The sequence below is a fragment of the Homo sapiens genome, chromosome 10, assembly GCF_000001405.40.
Source record: "Homo sapiens chromosome 10, GRCh38.p14 Primary Assembly".
In the NCBI taxonomy this organism is placed as follows: Eukaryota; Metazoa; Chordata; class Mammalia; order Primates; family Hominidae; genus Homo; species Homo sapiens.
In genome coordinates this window covers 120,605,558-120,621,588 of record NC_000010.11, presented here as the reverse complement: position 1 = coordinate 120,621,588, position 16,031 = coordinate 120,605,558, and the positions used below count along the sequence as shown (strand labels likewise).

The 16,031-nt window shown below is 39.3% G+C and overlaps 1 long non-coding RNA gene across 1 annotated transcript in view; it reads right to left on the bottom strand.

The window, feature by feature from the left end:
• LINC02930 (long intergenic non-protein coding RNA 2930) overlaps positions 1-13,007 on the bottom strand; it is a 216,730-nt gene extending 203,723 nt beyond the window's left edge. Inside the window, exon 1 of the long non-coding RNA XR_002957103.2 lies at positions 12,816-13,007. This is a non-coding gene — a long non-coding RNA (long intergenic non-protein coding RNA 2930). The remainder of the gene's footprint in view (positions 1-12,815) is intronic.
• Positions 13,008-16,031: the final 3,024 nt, after the last annotated feature.

The following is a 16,031-nucleotide window of genomic DNA, read 5'->3' as shown; positions in this document are numbered from 1 at the left end:
GGACTGAAGACATTTGGAAGAAAAACTGAAGAGTCTATTGGCTGTATTTAGAAGAGGAGATGGGAGGAGAAGAGAGAGAAAGAGTAGGCTGAGGAAGACATGGGGGAGGACAAGTTTTAAAAAAACAAAACAAGTATTGCTATTTTGGAAGATGAATGGAGGGCTGTTGCTCTGTGTTTCAGACAAGGATGGAAATGAGGAAACTATTATTTTAGGGGATAGAAGGAGAAAGGCTATAATTATAAAGGGGGTGTACCTATCACTTCCTGCTGGGTGATCAAACGAACAGGCTCTGGGGAGGAAGTGGAAAGGAGAGGCCCAGGGAAGGATGAATTTTCTAAGCAGCATGCCTCTAGCTATCAAAATGGGCACCTGCCCATCTCCTGGGGCTGGCAGTAACAATAGGTCACAGAGAAATTTCTAGGTAATGGTTCAGCATGAAGAAAACACCACAGGCTTAAGGCATATTCAGCAGAAACTTAAAACTACGAAAAAAGGGTACAAAATGTATTTCTCAGTTCTCATCAATATTGAGCTAGTCCTTGAGGTGTGATTTTGACAGCTGAGAGGGTAGAGTGTGCTCTAGAGGAAAAAAAAAAAGCTTGGGCAAAGATAGTAGGTTCATCAAGGGGGTTTGGGAGGAGATGGGTGCAGGTTTGTGCAAGGCAGAGGTAGAAGAGACAGAGGAGAAGGTGGGCATTGATTACTCCTGAGCAAGAGAGTGCAGTGAGCAGCACTCAGGAAGGGCATGTGGGAAGCTCTGCATAGAATAAACAGTATAGGGAGGATACAGGCAGCAAAGAGGCCATTTAGGAAACACAAAACCCAGGTTAGAGGCAGGAGTCGAGGGAAGGCAGGGGAGGATAAGGGTGGATAGAGTGACCCTATGGAAGTAGAACTGACAAATGAGGTAAGGGGTTAAACTTGGGCTGCCATGTGAAGGGGCTAGGGCTGGGAGTGAGAGACAAGCAAGAGCCTAAACAGGTCCCAGGTTTCAACCAGAGAGGCCTGGGGTTTGCGCCATCACAGAAACAAGGAGCTCCTGGGAGGAAGGGGAGCAGAGGATGGAAGGAACTCTTTAGTTCAGTTTGGACATCCTTGATGATCTCTAAATGTTCTTCTATCACTAGAGTTCAGAATTTATTAGGTTGGTGCAAAAGTAATTGCTGTTTCAGACCATGAATTTTTAAATCATTGTAACTAGGCTCAAACACATTTTTATTAATCAAAATAGAAACCATTACAATCAACACATTTTTGCCAATGAGAAATAAGCTTGTTTATTCCTGTAGTGTAAAAAATCTTGCTTTGGGATTTGACAGACTCTTGGAAAGCATTTTGTGCATCCTGCTGACCATGAAGCATTTTCCCTAGAAAAAAGTTGTAGAGATGCTTTAAGAAGTGATATTTGGTTGGCGAGAGGTCAGGTGAATATGGCAGATGAGGCGAAACTTCATAGCCCAATTCGTTCAACTTTTGAAGTGTTGGTTGTGCTATGTGTGTTCGGGCATTGCCTTGGAGAAGAACTGGGCCCTTTCTGTTGACCAATGCTGGCTGCAGGCATTGCAGTTTTCAGTGCATCTCGTGGATTTGCTGAACATACTTCTCAGATGTAATGGTTCCGCTGGGATCCAAAAAGCTGTATGGATCAGACCAGCAACAGACCACCAAATAGTGACCATGACCTTTTTTTTGGGTGCAAGTTTGGCTTTGGGAAGTGCTTTGGAGCTTTTTCTCAGTCCGATCGTTGAGCTGGTCATTGCCAGTTGTCATTTAAAATCCACTTTTTGTCACACGTAACAATTCAATTGAGAAACGGTTCGTTATTGTGTAGAATAAGAGAAGACGACGCTTCAAAACAATGATTTTTTTTTTTAAATTTTTGCTCAGCTCATGAGGCACTCACTTATGGAACCTTTTCATCTTTGCAATTTGTTTCAAATGCCAAATGACCATAGAAGGGTCAACGTTGACTTCTTCAGCAACTTCTTGTGTAGTTGTAAGGATGATCAGCTTCGATGATTGCTCTCAATTGGTCATTGTCAACTTCCAATGGCAAGCTACTGTGCTCCTCATCTTCAAGGCTCTTGTCTCCTTGGCAAAACTTCTTGAACCACCACTGCACTGTACGTTCATTAGCAGTTCCTGAGCCAAATGCATTGTTGTTGTTCCAAGTTGTCTCTGCTGCTTTACAACCCATTTTGAACTCAAATAAGAAAATTGCTTGAATTTGCTTTTTGTCTAACATCATTTCCATAGTTTAAAATAAACAGCAAGTAATAAGTCATTAGCAAAAAAAAATAGAGAAATGCCCATTAAAATGATGTATAACTTAACCACATTGATTTAAGAATGTATTCCAATATCAAACAGCAAATTCCAACAATGGGAAAATCACAATTACTTTTGCACTCACTTTAATAGAACAGCTAGTTTCTTGTCATTTAGAATGTGGCCCTGGACCCAGCAGCATCAGCATCACCTGGGAACTTGTAAGAAATACAGATTCCCAGGCCCTACCCTACCCTCCAGCTACTGATTCAGAATCTGCATTTTAATGAGATTCCCCGGGGGATCTGTGTGCACATGAAATTTAGAGAAGCACAGATGTAATCTGTTCTTTCTTTCCTTCCTTCTTTGGTGTTTCTTTCAAAGAAAGGGAAACACCTCTCTCCCCACTGCTTTAAATACAGGTGGCAATTAGTCACATATTCTTCCCAGCAACATTATGCATTGTGGATTTGTGATGTTACCCTGAGCCTTCTTCAGTTGGTCATCATTCATCTGCTAAGTTCTCTATTCCCCCCTTGTAGCTAAGAGGAAAACTGTGCTATCACCTTTCCTTTCTCGCCTGACAAGGGTGACTCCAACCAAAGGAGTAAAGGAGTATCTCCCAGAGATGCTAAGTCTTTTTTTTTTTCCACTAATAAGATTAGCCACATAGTTTTCTGCTTTGAAGTCTTTTAAGAAATTCTCTCTCTCTCACACACACACACATACACACACACACAGTTTTCTTTTTTCATTCCAACATAAATATTAATCCCAACCTATTGATGTCCATATAGTACTTTGGAATTATTACTCAAAAGAACTTAGAAGATAAGAAAAACACTTTCGTTCTGGTTATTGGAATATCCTTTAAAACACACTAAGTGTAAACCCAAGACTATGGACTGCCCATCATGAGCTAAAGCCAGCCATCAAATGTATTTTATTTAGCCCCTACAGTGTTTCCTTAAAAAGTTTAAGAGTCAATACCTAAGAATTGAGAGTACTTAAAAGCCAGATTACTGGCATCTCTTGAAAACTCAGAAGCTCTGGTGATGCTGGGTGCACATTTCAGTGTGGCCTCAGGGAGTCTGAGGCAAGGGGCTGCTGACGCTTTAGAAGATTCATCACTCATTGTCACGGCCCACCTTACCTACCACTGTACTCATTTACATGACCTGCTTGGGCCTGGCAAGCCAGACACAGCAAAGTAGATGGCACCAATGGGCAATACAATATGTTCCTGACCTCTCTCCCTGCAGGCCCTAGTGCTGAAATGCATCTTGGAACTGCTCTGTTGAATAGCACTTGGGGGACATTCCACTCCCTCTCTCCCTGTACACAGCCAGACCCTGTGTATTGTTGTTCTCCATTCCTGTTGTTCCCCTTCAGTCAATCTTGCATCAATAACCTTATTTTTACAAATGAAGAAACTGAAGTTTTCTGGATCTTCAGGAATAGTACATAAGATTACTGTCAGATGAGCCTGTCTTTGAATCTCAATGCTACCATCTGCTAGCTCTGTGATCTCAGAGGGGCTTCTAAACCATATGAGATACTATTTCCTTTAAAAGGAGGATGTTAAATGTACCTACCTCATGGAGTTGTTATAAGAATTAAATGAGTTAATACATATAAGGTGCATACCATCAATAAGTACTCAATAAATGTAGCTATTGTTATAGCTCAGAGAAATTAAATGGCTTGTCCAAGGTCATGCAATTATTAAATGAGGGAGCTGATATTTAAACTCTAGACTGCCCATACTCTTTAACTTATGTTCATTCTACTAAGCCACACTGTTTTAACCCTATATTAGAAAGTAGAAGGCTTTATTCCAACTGGAAAAAAATACTTACAAGGCACCTAGTATGTGCAAGGCCTTATAGACATAGATGAACCTTTAAAAATTATTTAAAATCTTACTAATAAGTTAGTATTTTATCCTTATCATTACATTTCTTCTACTTATTTTTGGCTCTTGGTTCTGTATCTTAAGTTGAAAACAAATAATTGATTTTATATCTTTCTTCTTTTTAAATGTAAATATTTAAAACTATAAATTTCCCTCTAAATATTGCTTTAGCTTTCTACTAAAAATTTTGATATGATGTGTTTTTACTTTCATTCATTTTAAAGTGTTTCTATTTTTCTTATGATTTCTTCTGTGACTCATGGGTTATGTAGAGGTGTATTTCTAAATTTGCAAATATTTGAAAAATGTTTAGATATGTTTTATTAGTAATCTCTAAGTTAATTATATTTTGGTCAGAGAACATACTCCATGATTTTGATTATTTTAGACTTATTAAGATTTCTTTTATGGCCCAGCATATAGTCTATCTTGGCAAATGTCCCATGTGCACTTGAAAAGGATGTGTATTATACTATTGTTGGGTTGAGTATTTTATAAATGTCAATTGAGTCAGTTGATTGACAGTGTTATTCAAATCTCCTTTATCCAATATTCATACCTAATTTTGTTTTCGGTCAATTTGTTCTATAAATTATTTAAAGAGGAGTGTTAAAATCTCCAGTTATAGTTGTGGCTCTATTTCTCCATTCAGTTCTATCGCCTTTGCTTAATGTGTTTTAAACTTGTTGTTAGGTGCATATATATTTAAGATTGGCATGTCTTTCTAGTGAATTAACTCTTTCATCATTGGTCTATTTAACATGACCACTTCGGTTTTCTCATGATTAATATTTACATATATATTTTACAGACCTTATTATTAACCTATCTGCCTTTATATTTAAAGTGAATTTCTTAAAGGCAGCATATAGTTGAGTTTTATATTTTCATCCACTCTGACAATCTCTGCCTTTTAGTTGGAATATTTAGGCCATTTACATTTAATGTAATTATTGACATGGTTGGGTTTAAATATACCATCTTGTTTTTCTTTTTTGTCCTTTTTTCTACCCACTTTTGGATTGAGTATTTTTAGCATTTCATTTTACCTCCTCTATTAGTTTATTATCTTTAGCCCTTTTCTAAGGTGATTGCTCTAAGATGTATAATATATGTCTTTAACTCATCACAGGATGCTCAACATTACACTACTTCAAGTATAACCTAAGAACTGTGTATTCTTATACCCCAATTCCAGTATTGTTGTTTTATCATTTCTCCTATGTCATAAAGCCACAATATATATGTTTATACACAATATATAATATATATCTATACACAAAGCAACTTAAAATGGGCCATATATTTAAATGCAAAAGCAAAAACCAAAACTTCTAAGGAAAAACAACATATAATAAAGAGTATGTTAGGAAAGACAATTTTTTTTTGACAAAACACAAAAAACACTAACCATAAAGGACAAAAAAATGAAAAGCTGCACTTTATCAAAATTAAAAATGTCTGTTTTTTGAAGGAAACTGTTAAGAAAATGAAAAGTCAAATGACAGACTGGGAAAGAGTATTTGCAATACCTATTTATGAAATAGGACATGTAACCAAAATATATAGAGAACTCCTACAATTCAATAATAAGAAAAGAAACAACACAACTAAAAACTGGTAAAATATTGAAAACACCCACACACAGAAGAATGGCCAGTAGACATATGAGAATACAGTCAATATAACTGGTCATCGGGGAAGTACAAATTAACAACACAATGATATACCAATACCTACCCACTAGGAGAACTAAAATTTAAAAAGACTGTCAAGATAAAGTGTTGCTAAGGATGTGCGGCAACTTGAATTCTCATACGTTGCTAGTAGGAATGTGAAATGATACAGTTTGCAAACTGTTTGGAAGTTTTTTCCTTTTTATAAGGCCAACACTATACTTCTGCTATGACCAACAATTCTACTCTATTTTTCAAAGAGAAATAAAAACATACTTCAACAAAAATCTTAAAAACAAACATTCATAGTAGCTTCATTTATAGTAGCCAAAACCTAGAAACTTCTCAATGTCCACAAACAGGCGAAGGAGAACTGTTTATATATTCATACAATGGAATACACTCAACCATAAAAAGTAATAGCAATAAAATAACTGATAATATACACAACAACCAAGATCATCCTAGTAGACATGTTGAGCAAAAGAAGTCACACATAAAAGAATGTATGCCTTTAATTGTATTTATATGAAATTCTAGAACCAGCAAAACTTATGATGGTGATAGAAATTGGATCATTGGTTGGCTGTGGGACACAGATTAACTCTGAAGGAGTGCATGTGACTTTCTGAAGAGATAAAAATGTTCTATGTTGGAGTAGCAGTTAGACAGCTGTATATATTTGTCAAGACTCATCAAATTGTATACTTAAAATCTGTGCATTTCATTGGTATAAATTATACTTCAATAAAGTTGATTTAATAAATTCTCCTCCCATTGGGACAGCCTAGAGCAAGAATATAACTGCCAAAGAAAAGACAGATGCAAATGAGTCATGCTGAAAAAGCATACAGCCCCAGCAGCCTCAGCCAGCCCCTTCCAGCAAGCAGCTAGCATCCTGCAGGGCATATTAGAACAGGGCAACATCTTTCAAAGAAATAAAGTGACTGAAAACTCATGGTGTTAGAGGATATACTTTGAGCAATAGAGTAAGTGCAAAGGCAACATCTCAACCCTCAGTCACAAGGGCCCTGAGAAACAAAGTGGGTATTTCACAGAGGCAGTGTGGATGGCTGATGATGGATTAGGGGCATACAGGTGTCTCCATTGTTCTGGGGAAAAAGAAGAGTCCAGCAAGACCAAACTATTCCTTTAGCTACAAAAGTTGAGAATTTTGTTGTTGTTGTTGTTGGTGGTGGTGGTGGTGTGTGACATGTGTGTGAATGTGTGCATGTGCATTTTAACCAACTTCTTAGGATGGAAAATCTGGAGTCAGAAATTAGAATCACGCAGAGCCTTCATAGCCAGTTAACCTGCGTCTAGTTTTCCTTCAAGAGTTCAGGTTCAGACATTCTCCTGGTATCTCTATGATGTCTTTAGTCAAGAGCAAACATGTAGATACAGCATTTGGGTGGACCCTATGAGGCTTATTAAATCAAAATTCTGAAAGTCAGAATTGCTAAAATCAAATTAACTGCTACAGATGTTATCTTCATAAGGTTTCTTTCTGGGTGGAATACAAAATATTAAGCAAAATTCTGGGATCTTTTCTGTTTCTTCTGTGGTTTCAAACTCAGGACAGTTATATTTTTGAACCACATTAGCTGAGTATCAGACCTTGTGAAAATACAGGCATTATCCCCATGAACAGGGAAAAGCTTTGGCAAGCTTTCTTAATGTGAAGATGCTATAACGTTCTTTAATCAGCCTTGAGAATTGCAAATACAACCTAGAGATGGAACCAGGACTTACCTTCCTCAGAAAGATCAAAGGAATCCAGCATTTGTAGCTGAAACTGCAAACAACTAATAGTCATCATACAATTCCATTTGACTGTAATTAATATTTATTACTTTTACTGCTTCATGACTTTTCCTCAGGCTTGTTTTAATCCTTTCAGCAAACTTCCCTTTATTCTCCTCCATCAAACAATTTTCAAGTTCCTGCCCCAGCTTACATAGAGAGAATGACACTTCAGTGGCCCACCCACTTAAGAATAAGCCTCAAGAACAAAATATATGCTGGCAAGAAGCCATACATCCAAGTAAGCATCCTGGCACACATGATATAACAAGCCTAGAGGGGAGATAGGCTGGAGCTGAGCTTGAAGGCTAAAAAAGCTGATGGAGAAGTCAAGTAGGATCTTCCTGAATGGGGGACTGGGGAAGGAGTTAGCTAAGAAAAGCAATGGAGCTAGGGTTGAGGGTGTTCACTAGCCATAGACAATTGCTTGCTTGGCATAATTTGACAAGTCTCATCTAACACCAGTCATTCCTATTGTCCTTCCCTGCTGCATAAAGATATCATTATTCATTTGAATCATGTCTAGGCTAAGGATCCAGGATCTTGGGAGGAAATTACACAGTCCATATTCATTTACTAGATCAAGATTAGCAACTGTCGTCATCCCTCAAAAAAAGGAGGAGGGAGAGGGTCAGGAAAAATAACTAATGGGTACTAGGCTTAATACCTGGGTGATGAAACAACCTGTCCAACAAACCTCCACGACACAAGTTTACCTATATAACAAACCTGCACGTGTAGCCTGAACTTAAAATAAAAGTTTAAAATAAAAAAGAATAAAAGACTGCTTCAAAACAACAAATAAACAAAAGTAAGTCTGGGTCAAGGATGAGTCAGTATTGATAATGGGAAAGGGAAGAAGTGTTTAAGCCCAGCTTAGAGGGTTATCGGTGTGAGAGTCCTAGACAGGGAAAGCCAGGCCATGCCCAGACTACACGTCTCTATTATTCTTCCCCATGGTGGACTTATTTATATGAATGTCTTGCCACTGAGTTACAATCTCCTCTCCAACCCCAACCTCCAGGTCCTGTTTCTATTCAACTATGTAATGTTTGATGAATTGTTGGCAGCAGAAACAGTGCAACATGTGTATGCAAAGACTAGGAAATGAAGAACTTCCATTTCTGGCCATGACAGAGTAGCTGGAAGCTGATATATTTTCCCATCATAAATTACTAGAAAACTAAATAGAATATATAAAACTGCTTTCAGGCATTGGACAACAGGTAGCATTAAGAACATAGTCCCTGAGAGAAGATAAATAACAAGGTGAGCCCCACAACCACTCCAGATTTCTGCCTGGAGGCACCTTCCAGACCTCAGTGCCCAAAGCGATGCCAAGGAGAACACAGCAGTCTTTGTGAATTGACAAGACAGGGATCATAGTTTAGAGAGACTGAGGCAGCTTTGTGAGGTAGTATACTGGAGAGGAAAAAAACGTACAAAGAAAAAGCTCCAGAAATCTGCATGGGTGTCTCTATGGGTCTCTGACTGAAAACTGAGCTGTGTATTTTCAGAGTAAAACTCCATAGAACTGGTCAAAGAACTGCTACCTGTAAGCTGTGAGCTGAGCAATTCCCAGAGCTCACGCAGGGATGCAAGATAGTTTAGCTCCAACCAGCCAGAGTAGAGAGACCTGGTTAAAATCCCAGAGCATTTAGTAGAGACTTCATGAGGGCCATGCCATTGTACTAGCCCTACAGACTACTTTAGGACCACTCTAATAAAGCTTAAAAACAAACCTCAAAAACAAAACAAAACAAAAACAATTTGATGCTCAAATAACAACTTTCTGCCAGAGCAAAGTCTAACTCTCTTTAAAGGATGACAACAAAATCCAAATACTCAACAAAGTAAAATTTACAGTGTTCAGCACCCAGATAAAAATTACTGTACAGGCCAAGAAACAAGAAATGATAGTCTATACAACCAGGAGAAAAATTAGGCTATAGAAACAGAGACTCAAAACCAAAATCCTTAGGTATATTTTTGTCTCTTTTTCAAATTCTTCTTCTCAATTAGCAATTGATTTTACCCCTGTCAAACTCTATAAATATGAAGTCACTCATGTTTATTTCTCACTTAATGTGCTTAACAGCTAATTAACAAGATGTTTACAGAAAGTCCTTAGAGACCAGTAGACGGTCTCTGCCTTGGAAAAACCAAAGGCTGGGCTTGCTTGGATGAGAGGAGAAAAGCTTCTCACCCATGACACATGAAAATAACTAATACTTGATGAATTCCTCCCAGGGACTTAAGGTGCCCATCTCCTTTCCAGCCCGTATGAACTTTTTGAAAGTGTATCTCATCCTCACTTCCCCAACCCACACCTATAGTGATTTCAAAGTAAAAAAGTAAGAAAACCAAATAGCAAATATTGACAAGCTCCCAGAAGAAAGTAGAGAAATGCAAAATTGAGACTCTTACTTGGATCATGCCTTGGTTTTCTCTAGTATGCCTGGGGAGTTATGCCAAATTATTTCCTTGGCTTTAATAAGCACATTAAAAAGTGACCCAACATTCTATAACTATGATTTTATAAATAGCTACCTAGGACAACCTGAAGAAAGTGGCCGTCACCATGTCCATAGAATATATTGCCCCAAGAACAGGTGGAAGGAGAAAATGTTTTCCATCAGAACCTTTAAACAGTAGCTTAGATTTTGCTTAGCTTCCTAATAAATGTGATTAATGCAAATGTAAGCCTTTATTTTAAATGTAATCATCTCTGCCCCTGCACACAAGGCTCTTTACATGGAGAGTTAGGTGCCAAAGCAACTCTAACCATAAGAAGGAAGCTTGTTCATTCTCAGAATATGCTGAAGCTCACTGAATTGCAGAACTATACAATAGCTCCAAATGTTATTATGCCCATATGTCCAGGAGTTTAAGTGGCTTCTGCAGTGCCTCTTACTCATGTCATTGTGTGGGTGGCAGTGTTCTGGCCAACAATGACCATGGGATTGAGCATCTTGTATAATCATCTTACTAGGTTCTGAGAGTTATCCAGAACTGACAGCACAGGGCTGCTTACAGATGCTAATTAGAAGGGCAGCTCAAGTTATTTCCTAGATAATGAGGGGAAGTGTTTGTGATTTAACTTCTACCTACTATTGTTCCCTGTGGAGTTTTTGGAGGGAAGTAATTGCCTCATTGCTGCAAAGTGTTAACTTGGTTTGTGCTTTGTTCTTGCTGCCATAGCTTTTTCCTCCTCTGAACTCTGCATGAGTCTAAGGGTTATTTGTTCCCAGTGGCTTCAGATTCTTCCAGGTATTCTATTAAGATGACTGCTTAATTTCCAAGAGTCGAATGTGAAACATAGAATCTCAGTAGTTAGTCTAACATTTTCCTCAATGTTTAAATTCCCTTGTCAACGTACCCTATATGTGTTTGGTCTCTGCTGGAAAGTCTCCAGACAAGAAACTCACTACTCACTGGCAAGCCCATTTCTCTATTAAGAAAGTTCTTAAAACTGAACCAAAGTCTCTTTCCTACTCATTGGTTCTAATCCTTCCTCTGCCATGCAAGAAATAAGCCTACTCAGTTTCGTATATCATAGCTCTTGATGTGTTATACTCTGCTCAAACCCAGCAGCCACTCCCAACGACCTGTCAAATCCCGAGTGTCCTTTTCTCTAGCCAACGATGCTGCAATAGAATTCTGACTCTCTGGGTTTCTTTTTCTTTTTTGCTCTCATTATTTCTCTGATTAAGAGAAATTTTCCTCCATTCTTCCTTCCTTCCTCTTATTTTCTTCTTTCCTTCCTCCCGCCTCCCTTTCCCTATCTCTCTCTTCCTGTTACAAAACATATACAATTTAAAAACATTGTTCAGAAACACCATCACATGCCTCCACAAGTCTCTGCAGTCTCTTTGGTAGTACTAGACCCAGATCTGGTCCTCATAAGCATTGCTTTCTTGCTCCATAAAAAGAAAATCTCAGGTCCTATTTGTCTGTGAAATCATGGTAAAAAGTTATCTTTGGGGTCTTATTTTTCCCAGAATGCCAATACTGGTCTACTGAACCTAGACCTCATCTTTCCATTTCGTGACACAACTGCTTTCTTCTGAGCACAAAATGGAGCTGAGAGTCAAGACAATTACGCGATTACATTCAGATGACAAACTTTTTGGTCTTAGCATTTGATAGAAGAAAAAATATTTTATTAACATAAAACTTGCTGATGGGTATCCAAAGCCTCCACTTCATCACACACAGTGCAGACATGGCCTTTGAGTGCACACCAAGCTTAGTAACCTCCTTGCTCACTAAACTGTGGTGCTTCTCTTTTCACAAACATAAGCTGGGATCTTAGCAATTCCCCATCTGTCCACAGGTGAATATGTTATTTGAGAGAGGAGGCAGCTGCTACAACTCTTCATGGAAAACCAACATTGTAATTGCAAAAATAATTTGCAAATGATATTTCATGTGTTGCATTATTGCTTGTGATACTGATGGTTTATTAACCTACTTTCTTCTTATTTCTATGGGAAAACACAAAGACCTCATTTTTCCCTCAGATCACGTCAAAGTTAGGATGGATTTAAATGTACATTTATTTATTTATATACAGATATTCAGATAAGTTGGACAGCCACATCCCTACATTTTCTAAAATGACATAATGGGCATCAATAACAGGGTAAAATTGTGGCTCTGAGCCATCAGACAGAAACTGACGTTGCAGCCCAGCTGTGTGTACACAAACACTCAGGCTGATGAAGGAAGGCCACGGAATTCAAACCAGCACATCTTGCTGCTTTGCATTCAGCCTGCATCACCCGGGACAGAAAAACAGTGTGCTAATGAGAGAAAAAGTTGAACAACATAGAGTTCCTCTTTACAGGTTCCTAACATTATCTGGACAAACTGAGTGTTAGAGCTGGCCCGAGGGCTGATGGTGAGCAAGGGAACCGTCCAGGAGCAAATGAAACTGTCACGAAGGAAATGCCAGGCTCAGATAGACCCCACTCAGGAGGAAGGAAACCAGTGAGAAGGGAGGAAGGGGACCCCATCTCTGTTTCAGGACTTGGACTCATGGTTACTGTCCCTTGCTAAGAGCAATGTCCATTCTGTTCAGTCACGTGGGATGCAAACTCTAAACAAACCTTGATGAAGAGGAAAAGAGAATGCATTGGCTCAAGTACCTGAAAAGCCCAGGGCAGGGCTGGTTTCGGGCTTGGCTGGATTCAGAACCCAAGTGATTTCAGGAGTTCACTCCCTCCATGTTTTGCCTCTGATTCCTCTGCCTGGGATCCACCCAGAAGCACCTTCTGCAGTAAGATTGCTGGAGCTGTCCAGGTTCCCCATTCCATCCTCACAGCAACTCTAGCCAAAAGAGAGTTTCTCTTTTTCAGTGGTTTCCATTGAAACCATAGAACTGAGTCTCAGTAGCTCTGATTGGTCAGCTGTGGGCCACATGTTCATCCCTTAACCAATCACTATGGTCAGAGAGATATGGTATTCTCATTGGCCAGGCAGGGTCACATGCTCATCTCTGAAGCTGAGGTGGGGTCAGCCCCACATTGATCACTTGAACAGGGGAAGACTGAATCGTTATCAAAGAAGAGTTGAATTCTATCAAGGGGCCAGGAGTGTAGGACAGCAAACAAAAACAGGTAACCACCTCAGGTTAAAAAACTGCCTGAAGGGAGGGGTCACGGTTTACAGATGGCAAGGAAATCCTAGATACAATGCTAAATAGTGGCTTCATTAGTCATCATCCCACTTGTATCCATGCAGGCTAACAGATTCTGTCATGGATTAGGGCTCTGCTCTTACCAGCCATCATTCTGACCATGCCCACTGTTGAGGACTATGGCTCCCAAGTTGGTCTTGCCATGAGATTTTAAAAGCATGAAATTATCAAGGACAATTAGAATGAATTTGTCTTCATCATCAGCCAGTCAGAAGTTTTGAGAACTAATAATGCTTAAAATCTATAGTGATCGCCTTTAATTATTCTTTCAGCCTGTAAGTTTTCACGTTTTCTTGGCTGACTTTTAATAATGAAACCTGCTGACTTTTAATAGTGAAACCACTGTTCTGACTCATTATTTATATCAGGTGTGTTTCCAATGTGAACTTATAAAGTGGTAGACATTTCTTGGTTATTTTATGTTTTGTTAAAAGTATCAGGGATCATTATGTCTAAGTTTGTTAATTACGTTGATACTTCTCCCAAGGGTTCCATTACTCTCAATGTCAGACAACTGGGAGAAGTTGTTCTGAAAGTCATAGACAGCAGACAAGAGCCTTTTAACTGATGTATTCATTTCTTTAAGAGGCCATGAACTGGCAGTGTCTTCTCTCTGGAATCTCTGTTAGTCATTCCTACTGACTCATAGCAATTCGCTCTCTGAGCAGAAGTTCCCATGAGAGAAGACCCCACTAGATGGTGATGTCAACTGATGGAAGAATTTTGGATGATGTTTACAAAGCAAGGAGGTCTTGTGAGTCTCACCAGCAGGCCAGTGTCAAGTGGAAGAGGCCAGGCCTGGCTGTTGGCCATAGGCTTGGCTGGAATTGGCAAAGGTGCCATTTTAACTTCCACACCCTGCTCATGGCTACCCACTCTACTCCTAACCAAGCTATTTATACCACAAATGCCTGACTACAGATATGGGGACATAAGTGAATGAGAGAGAAAAAGAACGAGAATGGGAAGCATTTTCCCACTTGTGCCATTACAACTGGTCAGGTCCCCAAGCATTCACTTGTTGTCTTCTCTGAGTCTGACAGCCACTCTATGAGTTAGATAGGGCAGGTATTGCTGCCATTTTACAGATGAGGCTTGTCCAGGATCACACAGCCATCTTGGATCCACTACCCAGTAGAGCCTGTGGAATCCATCTCAAAGGGATTAAAAGGATTGAAAATCTGCCCTGCAGATACTGATCAGTCAAGACTTTCTGCATGTTCAGGACAGCTACTGTTCTTTCCTCTCACTATTTCAAATAGCTCAGTCTCAAACTCTAGGCTGATTTGAAGCCCTTGCCTCTTCTCTCTCCCAAAGAGTCAAAAGATATAGTAGCCAGGGAGCCCTTGAACATGCTCCTCCCAACAGCAGCCCGGAGTTCATGCAAGTGAAAGGCTTTGTGAAGACATCAGCCACCCTCTAGCAGATTATTTTATAAATCAGATAAGCCAATTTTTTTGTTTCAATGTCTTCACTTTTTTCTTCTCTTGTTTATTTGTCCAGTTAGTCACTCTCTCGGAGGTAAATTGCATTCCCTCCTGGGGCCACTAGTGTCCCAAAGGAAGAAGAGTTTGTGAACTGTGCTAATAATGCTACGGTATACCTAACCCAAACCCTGCCCTACGTGCTCTTTGCCACATGACTCAGATCATTGGTTGGTCTTCTGTGAGCCCTAGATCTTTCTTTTTAAAGTGTTAAGCCACTGTATTTTCAGTCCAATTTCTAATCATGGCTTTTACCCATTGTTAGTCAAAAGTAGAGAAGAGTATAAGGCCTTATGAGAAACCCGTGTCCATGGTGTTTAGAGAAGTATAGAACTTCAGAAGTCATCCAGTTCAAAGCTTTACGGTGGGTAATCACTAACAATTTCCTTCTCCAAGATTAGTCAGTAAGTAATAGTGAAAATAAGAGCCAGCTTCTCAGGTACTTGCCAGGGGCCAAGCACTTTTTCTAGATATTTTAAATGAATTGATTCATTTCATTTTCATAGTAACTTCCTCATTATCACCATGTTACAGATGAACAAACTGAAGGTAAGAGAATCTAGGTAACTCACCCAAAGCCACATAGTACAGCTGGGATGTAAATCTGTGGGTATGAACCTGTGTTTGAGCTATGATTTGCATAATTCTGGAGCTATTACTCTCACCCACTCAGCTATACTTTTTCAACCAAAAGAAGAGATTAAGCTTATGTATTTCTGTGTGTGTGTGTGTGTGTGTGTGTGTGTGTGTGTGTGTGTGTATAAAAGCATGTATAATAGGCCCTCCCTGCCTCCTTGCCCAGCTGAGGGCCTGGGGGAGGGAGAGACCCAGAGCACAGGACAGCAAAGCTTCTCATTCTTTTTGATTCTCTTTCAGCAGCAAAGATAGAACCTGAATTAATATCTCAATAAATGATCCTTCCCTCCATGGACCAGCCAACGAGCACTCAGCGCTATTCACTCATCTTTTAGCTGGTGTAGGGGACAAGGAGATATGAGTGTGAAGATAATTGTAAAAATTTCAAAGGTTTTTGTTTCTTACTGAAATGACAAAGCTTGAGAGGTTCCTCCCTCCAGTCTCAGGATAATGAGACAGCATTTGCACACTTAAAGAGATTTTTCTCTCTTCTGAATGCTATTGTGTTCCACAAAAAAGCTCTGCTCTCAGTGTAGGGGAGGCTG